The 19,829-nt window shown below is 48.7% G+C and overlaps 2 long non-coding RNA genes across 5 annotated transcripts in view, besides 9 other annotated features; one reads left to right on the forward strand and one right to left on the reverse strand.

Moving 5' to 3' along the window:
• LOC105376413 (uncharacterized) overlaps positions 1-19,829 on the reverse strand; it is a 70,155-nt gene that overhangs the window by 37,933 nt on the left and 12,393 nt on the right. Inside the window, exon 3 of one of the 2 annotated variants that reach the window (XR_007062054.1) lies at positions 6,407-6,611. This is a non-coding gene — a long non-coding RNA (uncharacterized LOC105376413). Of the gene's footprint in view, positions 1-6,406; positions 8,563-19,829 lie in introns of those variants that run through there. The other variant, XR_930662.3, reaches the window with a different exon arrangement.
• On the forward strand, positions 139-7,047 carry LOC105376412 (uncharacterized). 3 transcript variants are annotated; one of them, XR_007062055.1, is made up of 4 exons: positions 139-272; positions 2,629-3,254; positions 5,792-5,959; positions 6,139-7,047. It is a non-coding gene; the product is annotated as an uncharacterized LOC105376412 (long non-coding RNA). The 3 variants fall into 3 exon arrangements; XR_002957063.2 differs by having other exon boundaries at positions 2,629-2,775; XR_930661.3 differs by lacking the exon at positions 2,629-3,254.
• Positions 4,265-4,314: an enhancer, noted in NCBI's record as "active region_3021". NCBI's record gives its function as "activates an Ori minimal core promoter by ATAC-STARR-seq in GM12878 lymphoblastoid cells {active_cell/tissue: GM12878}" and the evidence as "EXISTENCE:reporter gene assay evidence [ECO:0000049][PMID:35858748]".
• Positions 4,605-4,694: an enhancer, noted in NCBI's record as "active region_3022". NCBI's record gives its function as "activates an Ori minimal core promoter by ATAC-STARR-seq in GM12878 lymphoblastoid cells {active_cell/tissue: GM12878}" and the evidence as "EXISTENCE:reporter gene assay evidence [ECO:0000049][PMID:35858748]".
• Positions 5,841-7,302: an enhancer, noted in NCBI's record as "VISTA enhancer hs1382". NCBI's record gives its function as "enhancer in: forebrain[6/13]" and the evidence as "EXISTENCE:transgenic organism evidence [ECO:0001131][PMID:17130149]".
• Positions 9,872-9,941: an enhancer, noted in NCBI's record as "active region_3023". NCBI's record gives its function as "activates an Ori minimal core promoter by ATAC-STARR-seq in GM12878 lymphoblastoid cells {active_cell/tissue: GM12878}" and the evidence as "EXISTENCE:reporter gene assay evidence [ECO:0000049][PMID:35858748]".
• Positions 10,899-12,098: an enhancer, noted in NCBI's record as "MED14-independent group 3 enhancer chr10:11726365-11727564 (GRCh37/hg19 assembly coordinates)". NCBI's record gives its function as "activates an origin of replication core promoter dependent on BRD2, BRD4, P300/CBP and CDK7 cofactors, and independent of MED14, by STARR-seq in HCT116 cells {active_cell/tissue: HCT116}" and the evidence as "EXISTENCE:reporter gene assay evidence [ECO:0000049][PMID:35650434]".
• Positions 11,262-11,361: an enhancer, noted in NCBI's record as "active region_3024". NCBI's record gives its function as "activates an Ori minimal core promoter by ATAC-STARR-seq in GM12878 lymphoblastoid cells {active_cell/tissue: GM12878}" and the evidence as "EXISTENCE:reporter gene assay evidence [ECO:0000049][PMID:35858748]".
• Positions 11,422-11,731: an enhancer, noted in NCBI's record as "active region_3025". NCBI's record gives its function as "activates an Ori minimal core promoter by ATAC-STARR-seq in GM12878 lymphoblastoid cells {active_cell/tissue: GM12878}" and the evidence as "EXISTENCE:reporter gene assay evidence [ECO:0000049][PMID:35858748]".
• Positions 12,437-12,486: an enhancer, noted in NCBI's record as "active region_3026". NCBI's record gives its function as "activates an Ori minimal core promoter by ATAC-STARR-seq in GM12878 lymphoblastoid cells {active_cell/tissue: GM12878}" and the evidence as "EXISTENCE:reporter gene assay evidence [ECO:0000049][PMID:35858748]".
• Positions 17,707-18,208: an enhancer, noted in NCBI's record as "H3K4me1 hESC enhancer chr10:11733173-11733674 (GRCh37/hg19 assembly coordinates)". NCBI's record gives its function as "activates a minimal SCP1, AML or CMV promoter by ChIP-STARR-seq in primed H9 embryonic stem cells {active_cell/tissue: H9 hESC(primed)}" and the evidence as "EXISTENCE:reporter gene assay evidence [ECO:0000049][PMID:30033119]".

Raw genomic sequence — 19,829 nt, forward strand, 5'->3', positions numbered from 1 at the left:
TAGCATCTACCATAGCACAGATCTCAGGAAGACCCACAAGATACATTTGTCAACAAGTCGATGGCCTCCTATGTGGCCCTGTGCTGTGTGCTGAGGCTACAGGAAGGAACAAAGCCTCCTATCTGGGGGCCCACTTCTGCAGTTAAGTTCATCTGGTGTCCTTTGTAATACTGCAAAGAGAACTTCTTACGCTGTAGCTGAATGAGAGAAATATCCCATTCCAAACCTCTGATGGAAACTGGCCAAGTCAGCGTGTGAGAGGAAGAAGGAAGGTAAGAGGTGGAGGAGGTGGAAGGAGGGAACTTCAAGGTCTTTTGGAGCAATGGTGTGGTTGGCCTGTGGGAAACTCAGCGGCTGTGAATTCAGCCTCATTTTGCCCAGCGTTTGGGGGGTGCTCAGTGCCAGAGAACAACACGCTTCCTATGAAAGATTGCAAAGTAAAAACAAGGAGGCGTGTTAGAGAGCCACAATTCACACATATTAACTAAAAAACACAGCTATAAATCATGTTTATCACCATATGGAAGTCATTATGGAAAGTGGGAGACAAATAGACATGAAGAAACAAAAATTAGGATTTCATCTGCCCTGATTCTTAGTCATTTATTACCATCCAGCTGGGCACACACTTTAGGAACCACGATGAGCAAGATTACCCAACCGGAAACACCTTGTCGCCTTAATCAGATTGAATGTTATCTTAGCTGTGATAGAGCAACAGTGATTTTTTTTTTTTAACTGGAAGGAACAGATGAAAAACATCTTTTTCTTCAGGATTGACATTTCTTAACACAGATTACAGCAGGCAGGCAGTTGACGTCTCTTCTTACCCTGCCGATTTGGTTATCTTCTGCAGAACAGAATCCCTTCAGTGTCATTCCAGCCACAAGCACAGGAATCTAGTCACTCATTCGTTCCCCCATTTGATAGAGGCAGGAGCCAGCCAAATGGCCAGGCCAATAGGGAAGGGTCCCCAGAGAACCCCCGACCTGCCCAGGTCATTGTGCACAGGGGGCTTATCTAAACAAGCCCACAGTCAAAAATTCCATCCCTTCACACCTGCGCAGTAAGGGAAATAAACCAATGTGGAGTGGCTCAGACCAAGGGCCCACCTGCCCACTGGAAGAATGGGGTGGACCCACCAGGAATTCCCCTTAGGCAGGGGAGGAGCCTGGCCTTTTGGACTCATGGGTGGCAGCCTGGCATTCAATTTGTGAGGCGGAAGCCTGCAGGCAGGACCCTGCCTTTAACTGAGAGCTTTCCTTTTGCTTAATCAATTCAGCCCTCCTCACCCTTCAATGTGTCCACGTGCCTATTTTTTCCTGGCTGTGAGACAAGAACCCAGATTAAGCTGAACTAAGGAGCAAAAATCCTTGAATCACATTCATGGCCCTTTGCTGTGTGCTGAGGCTACGGGGAGGAAAAAGACTGTCAAGGACCCTGCCCTCAAGAAGTTTAGAGTCTGGAAAGAGACACAGGCATTAAAAAAGTAATTTCAGGCCAGGCACAGTAGCTCATGCCTGTAATCCCAGCACTTGGGAGGCTGAGGTGGGTGGATCACATGAGGCCAAGAGTTAAAGACCAGCCTGGCTAACACGGTGAAACCCTGTCTCTACTAAAAATACAAAAATTAACCAGGCATGGTGGCAGGTGCCTGTAATCCTAGCTACTTGGGAGGCTGAGGCAGGAGAATCACTTGAACCCAGGAGGCGGAGGTTGCAATGTGCCGAGATACCACCACTGCACTCCAGCCTGGGAGACAGAGCAAGACTCTGCCTCAAAAAAAAAAAAAAAAAAATCAATCTCATGCAAAAATACCCTTGCAGACACACCAGAAATCATATTTGATCAAATATCCAGGCCCAGTCAAGTTGACACAAAAAATTAACCATCACAGGGGTGGTGAGGAAGGAGGTTGGAAAGTGCAATGTAGGCAGATGTACCAGGGCCTTGCAGGCAATGCTAAGAGTGTTTATCTTTATTATAAGAGCAACGGGTAGCCAGTACAGGGCTTCAAGACAAGGCAAGAAATACTCCACTTAGTATTGGGAAAAGATTGCTTTGATTGTTGTTTGGGGAAGAGATAGGTCTGGACAAATTCAAGGAACATTGCATAGAAGTGACATTTAGGTTAGGTCTTGAAGATGGAGAAGGATTCAGTTACTTGGAGAGAGTAAGGGAATTCTAAATAAGAGAAATGCATTAGCTAAGGAAGAAAGATGGCAGCCAAGGATATTCAATGATGAAAGTATCTTGAATGATAGGAATAGGGAATCTCAGGGGAGAAGGAATCTAAAATGAGCATAGCAAGGTGGCTGGGGGAGAATCACAGAGGGCCTTGAGTACTAGGATAAGGAAACCATAGCTCCATTCTATCGAATTTGATGGTTTCTTTGAGCAGGTGATTGACATACCCAGTATCTTTTAGAAAGATGACTGATATGGTTTGGATCTGTGTCCCCCCCTCAAATCTCACGTTGAAATGTAATCCCCAATGCTGGAGGTGGGGCCTGGTGGGAGGTAATTGGATCGTGAGGGCAGATTTCTCATGAATGTCCTAGTGCCACCCTCTTGGGGATTGTCTTAGTGAAAGCGAATGAGTTTTCGTGAGATCTGCTTGTTTAACAGTGTGTGGCACCTCCTGCCTCGCTCTCTTCCTCCTGTTCCGGCCATGTGAAGTGCTGGCTCCTCATTTTCCTTCCACCATGATTGGAAGCTTCCTGAGGCCTCACCAGAAGCAGATGCTGCCATGCTTCCTGTACAGCCTGCAGAACCGTGAGCCAATTAAACCTCTCTTCTTATAAACTACCCAGTCTCAGGTACTTCTTTATAGCAGTGTGAGAACAGACTAATACAATGACTACTGATCATAGTGGATTGGCCACTGGAGAGAAAGCTGATGGAGCAGAGAGCACTTGGGAAGAAACCATTAAACACTGAAAGAGGAAGAGGTGGTGGAGATACATTGGAGAGAACAAATACAATAGACTTATCTGAGGTCAAATCAACAGAACCCAGCAACGGATCAGACAGAGAGAGAAAGCAGAAAGAGTGAAATAAAACTCCACGGTTCTAGCCTGAGTGATTAAGGGCAGAGCAATGTTCTGGACCTTGCTGGGAGATTCAGGAAGAAGAGGGAAATCTGGGTTTATTTCAAGGAGGGGTGGGAAGGAGAGATGAGATGAAGGAGGACCAGGAAAATAAAATATTTCAAGTTAGCTATGCTGCATTGGAAGTGCTTACCGCATATCCAGGTAAGACGTCCACTGGGTAGTTAAGATCTATGGGTCTGGAACCCAGGAGAGAAATTGGGGTTGGAAATGCAGACTTGGGAGTCAAAATCATAATGATGTTCTCAGTCTTTTGGATTTCAAATTTTAGTAAAATTATCAAAAGAAAAAAAGCAATTTGCACGAGTAACTTTTTTGTTTGTGAATTACCACCATCTACTTTCACAAAGAACCAGACACTGTAATTCCCAAAAGGTATAAAAGGCATCATCTTAGAATAAAAGGTCCTCCTTCAAAGAGAGTAAATTTAGCCTTATGGAAAACTTCCTCCATCATCCCCATTTTTCTCATTTTGCTGCAAACCTGTAAAACTTGTATCCCACAGACAGTTTGGATTGCATTTGGCCACCATGGGTTTGAGACATGGCGGGAACAAAAGTGTGAGTTCTTTTGTTTGTTTTTTAGAGACAGAATCTCACTCTGTTGCCTAGACTGGAGTGCAGTGGCACAGTCATGGCTCACTGCAGCCTCAAACCCCTGGGCTCAAGGGATCTTTCTGCCTCTGCCTCCCAGATAGCTGGGGCCAGAGGTGTGCACCACCACACCTGGCTATTTTTTTTAATTTTTGTAGAGACGAGGTCTCACTATGTTGCCCAGGCTGGTCTTGAACTCCTGCCTCAAGCAATCCTCCTGCCTTGGCCTCCCAAAGTGCTGGTATTACAGGCCTGAGCCACAAAGCCTGGCCAACCGTGAGGTCTGATGAGACACCTTGTAAGAGCATTTAGAGCTCACAGGGAAGATGGGGAACATAAAAGAAAATGGAACCATCTAGCAGAGGAGATGAGCGTAGAGGCAGAAGCAGTGGGGGAAATCAATGAAGAATAAAAAAATAGGAACGAGAAGGGTCCTTCCCCCTTTTCTATCACACTCAGATAGAAACTAGCACTCACATCCCTGCGTGAACCGGGGAGGCGGAGGCTGCAGGGAGCAGAGATCGCACCACCCCACTCCAGCCTGGCGACAGAGCGAGACTCTGGTAGAGACGGGATTTTGATCAGGGTGGCAAAGATGAAGCCACAAACTAAGAAGAGTCAGGGCCAGGCGCAGTGGCTCACGCCTGTAATCCCAACACTTTGGGAGGTCGAGACAGGAGGATCACTTGAGGCCAGGAGTTTGACACCAGCCTGGCCAACATGGTGAAACCCTGTTTCTACTAAAAATACAAAAATTAACCAGGTGTGGTGGCGCGTGCCTGTAATCCCAGCTACTCAAGAGGCTGAGACAGGAGAATTGCTTGAACCCAGGAAGCGGGATTGCAGGGAGCTGAGATTGCGCCACTGCACTCCAGCCTGGGCGACAGAGTGAGACTCTGTCTCAAAAAAAAAAAAAAAAAATTAGGGTCGGGAAACCGCAGCCCATGAGCCAGGTCCATCCTGCCTGCTGCCCGGTTTTGTGCAACACATGGGCTTAGAATGTTTTTACATTTTGAAATGGTTAAAAAAAAAGCAAAAGAAGAACACTACTTCATGACATGTGAAAATTATTTGAAATTCAAATTTCAACATCCAGAAATAGTTTCACTGGAGCGCAGTCACCCTCAGCTGTTCACATATTGTCTGTGGCTGCTTTCAGGCTGCAGGACGGAGTTGAGTCAGCGTGAAAGAGATTGTGTGGTCCACAGAGTCTAAAATATTTCCTGGCTGGGCGCCATGGCTCACACCTGTAACCTAAGCACTTTGGGAGACTGAGGAGGGAGGATCGTTTGAGCCCAGGAGTTCAAGACCAGCCTAGGCAACACAGCAAGATTTCATCTCTACAAAAAAAAAATTTTTTTTTTTTTGAGACGAAGTCTTGCCCTGTCGCCAGGACAGAGTGCAATGGCGCGATCTCAGCTCACTGCAACCTCTGCCTCCCGGGTTCAAGCGATTCTCCTGCCTCAGCCTCTTGAGTAGCTGGGACTACAGGCATATGCCCCCACACCCAGCTAATTTTTGTATATTTAGTTGAGGTGGGGTTTTACCATGGTGGCCAGGATGGTCTCGATCTCTTGACCTTGTGACCTTGTGATCCGCCCGCCTGGGCCTCCCAAATTGCTGAGATTACAGGCGTGAGCCACCATGCTTGGCCATTCTTTTTTTTTTTTTTTTTTTTGAGACAGAGTCTTGCTCTGTCACCCAGGCTGGAGTGCAGTGGTGCGATCTCAGCTCACTGCAGCCTCCACCTCCTGGGTTCAAGTGATTCTCCTGCCTCAGCCTCCCAAGTAGCAGGGACTACAGGTGCACGCCATCATGCCCAGCTAATTCTTGTATTTTTTAATAGAGATGGGGTTTTGCCATGTTGGCCAGGCTGGACCAAAAAAAATTTTTTTAATTAGCTGGGCATGGTGGTGCATTCCTGTAATCCCACCTACACAGAGGACTGACGTGAGAGGATGGCTCACGCCCAAAGGTTGAGGCTGCAGTGAGCTACGATTGTGCCACTGCACTCCAGCCTGGGTGACAGAGTGAGACCCTGTCTCAAAATAAAATAAAATAAAATATTTTCTATCTGGCTCCTTTCAGAAAAAGTTTGCCTACCCTTGCACCGGAAGCAGGAGGGAAAGAGATGGGCTTGTTGGAAACCAGGAAAGGAGAAATTGACAGAGCTGCAGGGAGCAATCCCTTTCCACCTTCACCCAGGACTGAGATCATGTCATACAAAAGCCCTGTGTTGTTCAGAGGACCAGAGGGGTAAGACCGACAAACCGCAGTGCATGTTGGCACGTTACTTACAGATGTGCAATTGGACTTTTATTATGGTTGTTGCTCTATTGTATGTTTGTGTGTTTCCTTATTACATTTATCTATCTATCTATGTATTTATTTATTTATTTATTTATTTTGAGACAAAGTCTCGCTCTGTCACCCAGGCTGGAGTGGAGTGAAGTGGTGTGATCTCGGCTTACTGCAACCTCTGCCTCCCAGGTTCAAGCGATTCTCCTGCCTCAGCCTCCTGAGTAGCTGGGATCACAGACGCCTGCCATCATGCCTGGCTAATTTTTGTATTTTTAGTAGAGATGGGGTTTCGCCATGTTGGTCAGGCTGGTCTCGAACTCCTGACCTCAAGTGATCCACCTGCCTCGGCCTCCCAAAGTGCTGGAATTACAGGCATGAACCACTGCACCTGGCCTCTATTACCTTTAAAAGTGCTCCTTGAAGAGAAAATCCACTCTGCCGTTTCAAGCTTGACTTCCCTCCCCAGTCTTAGAGACTGATCACTGGGGCAGAGTGACATTTTCCCACAATGCTGGCTCATTATTTTCCTCCTGGAATTGCAAATCCAAGGGACAAGTGGTACAGCCTGCACCCATCCAGAAGGGGAGGGAATCCCACCAGAGGTGCCCTGAAACAAAGAAAACAAGTAACTTCAAAACCACATCCTAAAATCTGGACCTGTGACAGGACAGATGGAACTCTGGATTGTTTGATTCTATCAGCAGAACAGAGGAAGGAAATGTTTTAAAACGAGATTATGTTATTTTCCCCAGTTATTATGAAGCCTTCCTGAAATGAACTTTAAATATCGGCCACCACTTTCATGAGGCTGAATGGGATTCAGCAATTAGGAGCGTTGCAGGGAAGTGTGGCAGGGCAGAGGTGGGACAAATTGCAGATCCCTGTGGGGTCCCTTGGTTAGGTGACAATTAGTCTATAAAACACAGCTGTGTGTGTTAGGGAGGGAGTGGTGTCTTTAAAAAGCTCTGTGCCCAATAGGAACATTAATTAAAGGGTCTTTTTTCAAAGGACATTAATAATAATGAATAAAAAGCCTTCTGCGACTTTTGCCCTCAATGAGAAAATGACTGACAACTACGTATCGTATAGAGAAGAAAAAATATCCTAGAAGTTATGAAAATTTCCCCAAAATGAAATCATACAATAATCCTTTATAATGCTGGGCTTCCTAGACAGAATTTTCCAAAGGAAGCTGTCTATATCATCCAGCCCCAAGCCCTGCTGAATAATACACGATAGCTGTGTCATTAGTGTCCTCTAGCCAAATAACTGTCCAGGCAGGATGACATGGATGTGGTCGCTTGTCCCCTCTGCGTGGATGTCCTCCCACACATGCCTCTCAATGCCAGGGTTCCTCAAGACCCTCTGAGAGTCAGCTCCTGTATCCAACTGCTTACCTGATATTGCCTCCAAGAAGCCTTAAAACACCTGAAATGTAAAGGTCTTCCCCAGGATCCTCCCGGTCTTCACATCCCTATAAATGGCGTCAACACCCATCCACTCATGAAGCCAGAACTTAGGATTCATCCCCAATTCTTCCCTCTCCCCCGACATCCAATTCATCAGCAGATTCCGGGGCTTCGCTCTCCCAGTGATCTCTCCCATCTGAGGCTTTCCCTCCAGTGGTTTATTGCTTCTATCGTGGTCTAGGTAAGCATCATCTAGACTTGCCCTGGACTAGTGCAAAAGTCTCCTGAGTCTTCTCTCTTCATCTATTCTCGGGGGCCACAGCCAGACCATTCTCTACAGAGTTAAAAAGAGCGACTTCTGAAGGAGTGAACAGACCCGCATCATTGCCCTGCTTAAGATCCTTCAGCGACTTCCCATAGCATTTAGAACACAATGCAAACTTTTCTGTAGCCTTGCAACCCCTGCTTGAATTGGTCTGGCTATTTCTCTAGCTTCTTCTCAACCCCTCTTTCCTCACCTGGTATTCCAGCAGCTTCAGGGTTTCACAGTCTTCAGACACTCTTGTGCCTTCCCACTTCTAAGCCTCTTGTGTTTTCGGTTCCCTGTGCCAGGAAAGTTCACCCACTGCTCCCCAACTTCAGAGACCACCATTTTGGATACATAGCATTGGCCTGACATTCTTTTTCTTTTAACTGTCAGACATTAGGGCTGACCTAACTGTCACTACTGGAGTTCAATATGGCCCCCAAAAGAGCACCCTGCCGCTGTAAGTTCTGAGCCCATTGAGAAATGAGACAAAGAATCTAGGCAGATGGAGACCAAATGCATCAGCTCTATTTCTTATAAAATTGATATTGGAGAATGTGGCATATAATACCTGCAAACAAGTGGTTTCCTAATACCAACCCCAGATTGGATTTACCCACCCAGTCGGAGGCCATGCAGGGTCTGGGCAGACCCCCGATGTAGGGGGGTCTCAGGGCCTTAGTGCAGCCCTCCTGGCACCCCCAGCTTCCTTGTATGATTGTGCATGTTTGTCCCATCAGTCCGTGAACTTCCCAAAGCAGACACCAGGCAGAATAAAGAATACCGGGGAAGGCTGGGCATGGTGGCTCATGCCTAGTAATCCCAGCACTTTGGAAGGCCAAGGCGGGTGGATTGCTTGAGCTCAGGAGTCCGAGACCAGCCTGGGCAATATAGCAAGATCCTGTCTCTAGCAAAAATACAAAAAAAACTAGATGGATGTGGTGATGTGGGCCTGTGGTCCCAGCTACTCGCGAGGCCCGGGGTGGGAGGGTGGCTTGAGCCTAGCATGGAGAGGTTGCAGTGAGCTGTGATCACATCATTGCACTCCAGCCTGGGCGACAGAGCAAGACTCTGTCTCAAAAAAAAAAAAAAAAAAAAAAAAAGAACGGAGGGAAAACATACCGTGGGAACAGGTGTTATGACTTTGAGGCATTTATTACCACATTAGGGGCGACATACATCGCAAATGAAATCCCAGCTAGGGTGGGACTTTAAACAAAATGTGAGCCAGCACAGAGGACACTAGCAGGGCTGCCCCAGCCATGAAAACCCCAGTTCCGGAGAGCTCTGTCTCTTCTGGGCTCAGCTAGAGGGTATAAAGAGGCCAAGGGAAGTTCTTTCCTCCTCGCAAAACAGTCACAGGGCCTTGTGTGATTTTTCTTCTTCTTTCTTTCTTCTTCTTCCTCCTCCCCCTCCCCCTCCTCCTCTCCTCCTCTGCCTCCTCCTCCTTCTCCTCTCCCTCCTCCTCCTCTCCCTCCTCCTCCTCTCCCTCCTCCTCCTTCTCCTCCTTCTCCTTTTCCATCATTCTAGAAACAGAAAAAGCGTCTGCCCATGACTTTGGGGTTAAATGGTTCAATCCATGTCACAATAGCATTGACATCCTGGTGATAGAATGGGCCCTCAGACATTAAATTCAGCTTGTTTTAAAACCAGTGCCGCTGCATTTGAAGTCTCTCTCTTCCAAAGAGATTTAAGCCACCCCCATACGATATATATGTGGTACTAATCATTGTGCAGGCATTTCTGAGAAGTGGTATAATCACTACTTAAATCCGCAATCTGTCTAACTCTGCGCCCTCTCACGCTAGCATTTACATTCTTTGCGAAGGGTGATATTTAAGCCTGAAATACTGCCTAGAACGAGGTAGAAGGCACTTCCATGTAGGACAGGCAGCCCACGGGGGAAGCCTAACCTACCGGATTGAGGACAGCAGGAAACAGAGTTATTAAAACGTACGTCACAGCCAGATGGAACAAGCTCCGTTCCCAGGACAGAGCTCTGTTCCCTTAGCCCCGGCTCTGGCCCCGCTTCCAGGGGATCCCGGAGGCCCTGGGACTAAACAGGGAGGTGTTGCTATTTATTGCTACTGAGAAAGACTCCTTTAGAGCTCGGTGTACACACAGAAACATGTCCACGGACCTAGGTAGGTAAATTTGTACAATAAATCCTTAAAGAATCCCCAGCACCCCACTGTGCTCCACATGCGACTTCTAAATATGCTGCGTCCTTCAGGGGCTTCTTCCTTTCCAAAGGCAGCGGTGTCTATGGCGACCTCCAACTTCAACTGTCAGTCAAGGAAGGGATGTGCCCGGGGGACTTACTTGAACCCACACTATTTGTAGGCAGCACTCACTGCCTCTAAAACCAGATTAAAATGGTGCATTTATTGCATACCCCTCCTCTCTCCTCTCTCTCTCTCTCTTAGACAGATAGACACACACACACACACACGCACACATCCAGTGGCAGGGGTGTGGACTCCCAGCCACCTGCCCAGGCAGAGTCTGGGCTGTACACACAGTAGTTGTTTAATAGGTGTTTGCTGAGTAAATGCATTCGTGGGTGACAATGCACAGAGAAGCAGAAATGACATCCACCTCCGAACAGGAATGTGAACTTCAGTTCCCCTTTAATTGTCAATTTGCTGTGGGAGTGGCCCCTGCCTTTCTCAGTGGGGCCCTGGAAACGTGGAGACGAGAACCTGAATGGTAGAGGATAAACACTGAGGCATGGTGGGCTAGGAAGGTGGGGAAGGTTGGATCCCAGGGCCCCAAATGTCCCCTGGCTCCAGAATGGGGTCCCTGGTAAGCCTTCTTTCATGTTCATCTCTTGCGTGGAAATCCAGAAGCTGCCTCACTTCTAGAACCGTCCGATCAGAGACCCTCTGCTTGGCGCCTCCCAGAATCACACAAGGAAAAGAATCTGCCTTGGGGTATATACCCAGTAATGGGATTGCTGGGTCAAATGGTATTTCCGGTTCTTAGTCTTTGAGGAATCGCCACAGAGACATGCACACATAGGTTCACTGCAGCACTATTCACGATAGCAAAGACATAGAATCAACCCAAATGCCCGTCAATGATAGACTAGATAAAGAAACTGTAGTACATATACACCACGGTATACTATCCAGCCATAAAAAGGAACGAGATCACGTCCTTTGCAGGGACATGGATGAAGCTAGAAGCCATCATCCTCAGCAAACCAACTCAGGAACAGGAAGCCAAACACCGCATGTTCTCTTGTAAGTGGGAGCTGAACAATGAGAACACATGGACACAGGGAGGGGAACATCACACACTGGGGCCTGTTGGGGGAGGGCAAGGACGGGGAGAGCATTAGGGAAAACAGCTAATGCATGGCAGGCTTCATACCTAGGTGATGGGTTGACAGGTGCAGCAAACCACCATGACACACATTTACCTATGTAACAAACCTGCACATCCTGTACGTATTACTTTAAAGAAACACCCCCCTCACACCAAAAAAAAAAAAAAAGAATCTGCCTTTGATATTCCAGGCCTGCCTGATTGCTGGAGAGGCACATCCTTAGTGACCATCGGGACAAGGCTGTGGGGAGGGCTGGGCCCCGAGACCCGGGAGTGGCCCTGCCTGGCCATTTGCTCAAGCAGCATGCAAGCCGGATCTACAGCCGGTGCACCTTGTTCCTTGTTCTTCCGGGCACCGGAGGCCCACGTGAAACCTCTCAGAGGAGAGCGAAGAAGGCCACCTTTCATCTCAATGAGCCAACAGCCTCACATCTTTAAGTCCTGCCTAATCTTACGAGTCATGAGTCATCGCTTCTTCCCCGCCAAGTCATTCAGGATTCAGTGACTCCAGCTGCCCTCAGGATCTGACGGAATCTTGAAGGCAGAGTTCCGAGACTGCAGTCCAGGATAGAGAAGCCCCCGGCTCCATCAGGGGCTCCTCGGCTTCAAGGCAGGACCCACCCCAAAGCTCTCAAAGCGGCAGAGGCCTGTTTTCAGGTCTATTTTTAAAGATCTCTAGGGGAAGTGGTTTCTGAATGCTCTGTAGGATGAGGCTGTGAACAGTGATTGTTTCATTTGCTCGGGGCTGGCAAAAAAGGGATGTACAACCCGTTCTCACCACACCAGTGAGTTAAAAAGCACTGCAGACTATGAATACCTTTTGCCAGTTGGACTGGTTATGGAAACCGATGGCTTCCCCTACAACTGGGGAGGCTGCCAGCCCGGGTTTCTTGGGACAGTCCCTGAATATCTTGGTCTAGCTTCGAATGCACTTGCTTTATGAGTCACCGTTCAATTAAAATAAAAGTGGCCAAGGAAAAAGAATCGAAGGAAAAGACACGAAAACTGTGCAGAGGATCCAAAGCAAGAATGCATTTACGTAACAGGCATGCCTTACTCTAAAATCACCAACACAAAGTCCCAATTTACAATACAGAAATTGCCTAGAATAGAGGCAATTATACTCATGGCAGAATGTGAATGATTTCATTTTACCAAGAAAACAAAGAAAGAAAATTCATCAGAAGTTTCCTTTTAGTGTCTTCTCTAATAAATTTTAAATATTACTAAACTGTCAGAAATCTGATTTACATCTGACTTTTTCCAACCCCCCTGTATGGTATAAAGTAATTCCTTCTTGGATTCTGAAGCTGGCCACCTAAGCTTGGAAAACACCAAATGCTTTTGTAATTCTAGATAATAAGAAGTGCTCGTTTGGCATGAAAGAACATGAACTATAAACACCAGCTCATCAAAGGACTTCAAACGTCTTAAAAAGGAAAGAAAACAATCCAGTCCAGGAGCCAAACATGATAACAAACCCAACTCATAGAAGGCTTCAGTCATTAGGCACGGAGCCAACAGCGGCTGTGCTCCTGGCTTCTTCCTCTTTTGTAGCTCAACAAGTTAGAGAGGCGGGGGTTGGGTTCACCACGTTTACCATTGGGTTGATCTTATTTTTTAAAACAACTTTATGAAGTATGGTTGGCATGTTAAAAAAAAAAAGCTGTATATATTTAATGTCTACATTTCAACGAGTTTGGGGATAAAGTATACAACGGTGAAACCATTACCACCTCAAATCTATAAACACATCCATCACCTCCCAAAGATTCCTCCTGCCCTGTTTATTATTATTTGTGTGTGCACACATCTCTGTTTGTGTTAAAAACACAGCACAAGGCTGGGCACAGTGGGTCATGCCTGTAATCTCAGTGCTTTGGGAGGCCGAGGTGGGAGGATCACCTGAGCTCAGGAGTTCCAGACCTGCCTGGACAACATCCTATCGCTACAAAAAAAATATGAAAATTAGCTGGGCGTGGTGGTGCACACATGTAGTCCCTGCTACTCGGGAGGCTGAGATGGGAGGATCGCTTCAGCCCAAGAGTTTGAGACTGCAGTGAGTTATGATTGCACCACTGTACTCCAGCCTGGGCAACCAAGCAAGACCCTGTCTCCAAAAAAGAAAGAACACGGGGCCAGGTGTGGTGGCTCAGGCCTGTAATCCCAGCACTTTGGAAGGCCGAGGCGGATGGATCACGAGGTCAAGAGATCAAGACCACCCTGGCCAACATGGTGAAACCCCATCTCTACTAAAAATACAAAAATTAGCTGGACGTGGTGGTGGGTGCCTGTAGTCCCAGCTACTGAGGAGGCTGAGGTAGGAGAATCGCTTAAACCCGAGAGGCAAAGGTTGCAGTGAGCCAAGATTGTGCCACTGCACTTCAGCCTGGTGACAGAGGGGGACTCCATCTCAAAAAAAAAAAGCAAAAAAAAAAAAATGCAACATAAGATCTACCCTCTGCACATTTACGTATGCAATACAGGAGGGTTAGCTCTAGGAACTATACTGTATAGTAAATCCCTAGAACTTGTTGATGTTGCATAACTGAAGCTTTGTATCATTTAACCATTGCCCCACCCCCCGGTGACCACCATTTGACACCCTGCTTCTATGCGTTTGACTATTTTAGACTCCACAGAGAAGTGACGTCTTATTTTGATCTAATATTTAAAGTGAGGTTTAGACTTGGCATATGCAGGGGAAGAGGAGCAGAGGGTCCTTGTGGACCCCTGTTTCTAGTCACCCTCTTTCCCACATCTGGCCCAAAGCAGGATGAAAGTCCAGGGCCAAACTGTAAAGCAGATGAAGCGACCCTTAGCTTCCTCAGCCCTCCCTCCCTGGTCACTGTCTCACCCTTTCCTTCTTCCCACAGGTCCTCCCAGTCCTGTGTCCTCCTAGAAACCAGACACTGAGGAGGAATGTGGCCATGCCTCTCTGAGTAGCAGCTGTGTCTTGCTGGTTGACCAAGCCTTCAGGATGTGGAATGCGCTCTAACTGGAATTTCAGATGTCAGAAGGAAGGGAGGCACTGGGCAAAACCTCACCTTTTGATGGGGAAGAAAGATACAGAATGAAGTCACAATGAGGCCCAATGTGAGCCACATGTGAGACCAGGCCCAGAGCAGCGGGTAGATAAGCTGCTCAGGAGAAACCGCTGTTCAAGGCCGTGGATCCGTCTCCTTAAACCCTTTTGATCAACTACTTATCTAGTGGACAAGAGTGACCCCGACCGCTGCCAGCTCTCCGATGTGGCCTCAGTAGTGCTCTAGGTTGGAAGGGGGAGGGCTCTGACTCACAGAAAAGAAGTCTCCCCTTCAAAAACAATCCAGACATAGGGTCAAGGGGAGTATTTGGGGATAGAAAATGGCATCAGAAGGCATCCGACGTGGCCCCGTCTGCAGGTGTTCTGGGCTTGTGCCATGTAAACACACAGGAAGATGTCTCATCACCAGCCTTGCCTGGAGAACCAGTTCCACCTGCCCACTGCCTGCAGCTGCTTGGAGGGCAGGCCAAGGAAAAGCCTCAGTGAGACCCAATTCCTGGGCAGAAATGCCTCCCTGGATAGCCACACCAAGGCCTCTGAAATATTTTATCTTGGGTGGGGAAAGAACGAGAAACAGATGAGCTATAGGAACAATCTTTTCTATTTCCTCCTCTAGCTTGCTCACAAAGTGGTCCCCCAAGTTGCAGACCCCACAACTTAGCACTTAGGGCCTCAGCCATGTTATAGGGTCGGTCCCACCTTCGGGCCAGGGGCCAGCCGTCTGCCCTCAGCCATCCTTGGCTGCAGAATGCCCCTGTGGCAGGGAAGCCTCCCAGCCTCCCAGACAGGTGGGCAGCTGAGTTGTCAGCAGCAATGCTGCCTGTCCAAGGAGATCTGGGGGTCAGCAGTATCTGTTGCAGCGTGACACATCATAGGGCACTGCAAGTGACTTCAGGGTCAGGTTTTCTTCCAGGCAGGTGTCTGCATCTGCCACTAGCACAGGTGTTTCTTTCTTCCTTCCTTTTTCCTTCCCTCCCTCCCTTCCTTCCTTCCTTCCTACCTTCCTTTCAACAGAGTCTCACTCTGTTGCCCAGGCTGAAGTGCAGTGGCGCAATCTCGGCTCACTGCACTCTCCGCCTCCTGGGCTCAAGAGATTCTCCTGCCTCAGCCTTCTGAGTAGCTGGGATTACAGGTGCCTGCCACCACATCTGGCTAATATTTGTATTTTTAGTCAAGACAGTTTTGCCATGTTGGCCAGGCTGGTCTCAAACCCCTGGGCTCAAGTGATCCACCGGCCTTGGCCACTCAAAGTGCTGGGATTACAGGCAGGAGCCACGGCACCGGCCCTTTTTCTCATTATTATGCCTGCAGGTCTGCAGTGGGGTCCCAACCTTCTGTTTCTGTCTTGGAGGGAGGTTGGATTCTCCTTGACATACTTCACTCCTTATCTTGTTGCTTTTGTGCTTACCCTTCTGAACGACAGTTTGGGGACAGGGATTTTGAAGTTAGAGCCACTTTCCTGTACCTAGTAACTTGGCAGGAAGAAATCTCAGAGAGAGATTCAGCTGGAGGCTGGCGTTGCCTTTGCTGGAGAAGCTGCGTCCTGCCTTCTCGGCTGAGACTTTGTGAAACGTCTTGTTCCAGATTTCACTCTACTTAATTAGGGCATTCTTCCTGCCATATGGAGGCCTCAAGTCTTCCAGTCACTGCTTTACATTTTGTGGAACTCTGGAAAAGGGCCAGGATCCTGAGAGCCTGGGGGTATGTCGGAGCTTTTATCCTATGATATTTCCTATCTCCTGAGGCTGCTTCATTTGTTCCAGAGAGTTTGTGAGAAATCTCGGGATTTTATGGATTAACCTTCCTTTATTGGAGTGGGGGTTTAACCTTCCTGTATATAGTCCTGCTTTATCGGAGGCGGGTGATGAAAGCGGAGTCCGGAGCTGCTTTGGGTTATGCCAGAGTCGTGTTTCTTTCTTCGACAACACTTTTCAATTTTTTTTTTTTTTTTTTTTTTTTTTTTTTTTTTTTTTTTTTAGGCAGGATCTCGTTTCGTCACCCAGGCTGGAGTGCAGTGGCACAAACATAGCTCACTGCAGCCTCGACCTCCTGGACTCAAGCCCACGAGTAGCTGGAACTACAGGCATGTGCCACCACACCCAGCTAATATTCTGTAACTTTTATAGACGGGGTTTCGCCATGTTGCCCACGCTGGTCTCAAACTCCTGGGCTCACGGGATCCTCCCACCTTGGCTTCCCAAAGTGCTGGGATTACAGGCGTGAGCCACCGCGCCGGACCGATTTTCAACATTTTTAATGTGGGCTTGTACTTGTTTCCATGTTTGGCCGCTGACAGTGATTTTCTTTGCTGGACATGACCATGTTTTGCTGAATGATTTCGGCTTTGGGGAGAGAGAGAGCTGTGCTCTGGCGTTATTTACTCTTGAGAAAATACAGGCGCATGGATACAGCAGCCAGCGTTGCCTGGTAGAATGTGGGCAGCAGCAGGCTGGGGGGTTGCCTCGTGGTTCTGGAGGAGCGAGCGGCTCAGCCATCCACACAACTCCTTCACCAGCCTTTCCTCACCCGCCTGGAGATAGCCTTGGACTTCGCCCTCAGCCAGAGCCAGAAGATACAGGCCCAGGTTTCAGTGGAATTTACACTGGAGAATAAGAAGTCCCTCTATTTCTTCTAGAAGCCTCCGCCCTGACCGCTAATCTCTCGCCGCACACTCAACCCACAGGAATGACTTCACTGGCCGTCCCCTCGGTGTGACCTTGTAAGGAACCCACATTCCCTGATTTCTCTGCCATTCCCTTCTCCAGGCACTCAGGAGTCTATCTCCTCTCAGAGAGAATCGTTTCCCAAGACAGTAACTCCTGACTTTGGCGTCTAGGGGTAGGAATATGAAAGAGTACCTTTGGGGGCCAGGTGCAGTGGCTCACACTTGTAATCTTAGTGCTTTGGGAGGCCCAGGTGGGATGATTGCTTGGGGTCCGGAATTCAAAACCAGCCTGGGCAACATAGCAAGACCCTTATCTCTACAAAAAATTTAGAAAGTTAGCTGGGTGTGGCGGTGCACACCTGTAGTCCCAGGTACTCAGAAGGCTGAGGTGGGAAGCTAGTCTGAGAGTTTGAGGCTGCCGTGAGTCGTGACTGCACCACTGCACTCCAGCCTGGGCGACAGAGCAAGACCCTGTCTTGCTCTGAGTGGCTGGACACGGTGGCTCACGCCTGTAATCCCAGCACTTTGGGAGGCCGAGGTGGGCAGATCACTTGAGGTCAGGACTTCGAGGCCAACCTGGCCAACATGGTGAAACCCTGTCTCTACTAAAAATACAAAAATTAGCCGGGCAGGGTGGTGGGTGCCTGTAATCCAAGCTACTCGGGAGGCTGAGGCAGAAGAATCATTTGAACCCAGGAAGCGGACGTTGCAGTGAACTGAGATTGTGCCACTGCACTCCAGCCTGGGCAACGGAGCAAGACTCCATCTCAAAAATCAAAAACAAAAACAAAGAGTGAAAGAGTGCCCTCGAGTCCGTGGAAGAGCATGGTGAGGTGTGAGTGCCCCCTGCATGGGCAAAACGCTTTTCAAGCACCCTGACATCCAAAGTGGCTGACTCGGGGACAGGGGTTCCCTTGCCACCTCAACCAGAGAGCTCCCCTCAGGATGGGCACAGGCTGGGGAGAAGCATGGTAGGGTATTTCTTTGGGAGTCAACTGACAACTATGCACAGTCTTTGAAAATCGTTATTTCAAAACTCGGCCCCCTCTACAGTGTGGCATTACTGTGGCAAAACACAGCCTCCTTGTCCTGATTTGGACTTTCCACTTTCCAAGGAAGGCTCTCAGCCTCCTCCTGTGTGTGGCTGGGTAGGCGCCAGCCTTTCTGGGCACCGGGCCTCCGCTTCTAGAGGCTTATCGCGGATTCCCAAATTGGGAATGGGAGCAGAGACAGCCAAGGAAGAATTTGCTGAACAGACCTGGGGCTGTCACACTTTGGGAGCCGGAGGGAAGGCTGGAAAGGAGAGCCGCTATTTGGCAACCCCACTCCCGTCTGCCAGAGATGGAAGGAATTCCTCATCTGACTCGCTGCCGCAGGTGCTCCTGTAACAAGCTGTGGCTCCTCCACCTGCCTCCCTGGGAGCCACCCGGCTCTGCACATGTGGCATGTGTGGGGCTCAGGGCTCAGGGCTCTCAGGGAGGGCGCGTGCGGTGGGGGCTGCAGGAGGGGACACCACTGTATTCCACCGCTCCATCTCTGGCTTAAATTATAACTTTTATTTTAAGCAGCAGAATTTCTGCGTAGGAATAAGGCTTTGTCTGAGAGGTGGTCACAGAAACAGAGATGTACAGAATCTCCACTTTCAGAGGCAGCTGCCAGACACAGACACAGACACAGACATACCCGGGCAGGTCCGGCCCTGTGCAGCCAGTAGGAGATGCTCCTTCTGGCGGGCACATATGGTCGCATCTCACTTTATTTTTATTTTGTATTTCTTTAGAGACAGGGTCTCACTGTCACCCAGGCTGGAGTGCAGTGGCGTGATCTTGGCTCACTGCAACTTCTGCCTCCCTGGTTCAAGGGATTCTCCTGCCTCAGCCTCCCGAGTAGCTGGGATGACAGGCACCTGCCGCCGTGCCTGGCTAATTTTTGTATTTTTAGTAGAGAAGGGGTTTCACCATGTTGGCCAGGCTGGTCTTGAGCTCCTGACCTCAGGTGATCCACCCGCCTCGGCCTCGCAAAGTGCTGGGATTACAGGTGTGAGCCACTGTACCCGGCCAAAACGACAGAAATTTTCTTGCAGTTCTCAAGGCCAGAGGTGTGGAATCAAGATGTGGGCAGGGCCGGCCCCTTCTGGGGTCTCTGAGGAGGCTCCATCCCTTGCCTCTATCCTGGCTTCTGGTGGCCACTGGCAATCTTCCTCATTCCAGTTTCAGCCTCCCTCTTCACCTGGCCTTCTCTGTTTCTCCTCTTCTCTTCTGTGTCTTATATGGACAGTTGTCATTGAGTTTAGGGCCCACTCAGTTCACCCAGAATGTTCTCATCTTGAGATCCTAAATGTAATTACATCTGCAAAGACTCTTGTTCCAAATCAGGGACCATTCACAGGTGCTGGTGGACAGATCTTCTAAGAGGGGGCACCATTCAACCCAGGTGTCCCAGTCTGCTCTGGCTGATGTGACAAAATACCACAGAATGGGAGGCTTAAATAACAGACATTTATCTTTTCACAGTTCTGGAAGCTGAAAGTCCACGATCGAGGTGTTGGCAGATTTGGTTTCTTCTTTGTCTTGCAGGTCGTCACCTTCTCCCTGTGTCCTCACGTGGCCTTTCCTCTGTGGGCTCTGTGGATGTATACCCCTGCTGTCTCTCTGTCTGCCCCAATTTTTTTTCTCTCTCTCTCTCTTTTTAAGAGACAGGTTCTCGTTCTATCACCCGGACTGGAGTACAGTGGCACGATCATGGCTCACTGCAGATTCAATCTCTCCTGGGCACAAGTGATCCTCCCACCTCAGCCTCCTGAATAGCTGGGACTATAGGCTCATGCCACCATGCCCCTGCTAATTTTTTTATTATTTGTAGAGATGGAGTCTTGCCATGTTGCCCAGGCTGGTCTTGAACTTCTGAGCTTAAGTAATCCTCCTGCCTCAGCCTCCCAAAGTGCTGGGACTACAAGTGTGAGCCACCGTACCCAGCAAACATTTCCTCTTCTTACAAGGACACCAGTCACATTGAACAAGGGTCCGGCCTAATGACCTCAGTATAACTTGATTACCTCTGTGAAGACC

The sequence above is a fragment of the Homo sapiens genome, chromosome 10 (assembly GCF_000001405.40).
Source record: "Homo sapiens chromosome 10, GRCh38.p14 Primary Assembly".
In the NCBI taxonomy this organism is placed as follows: Eukaryota; Metazoa; Chordata; class Mammalia; order Primates; family Hominidae; genus Homo; species Homo sapiens.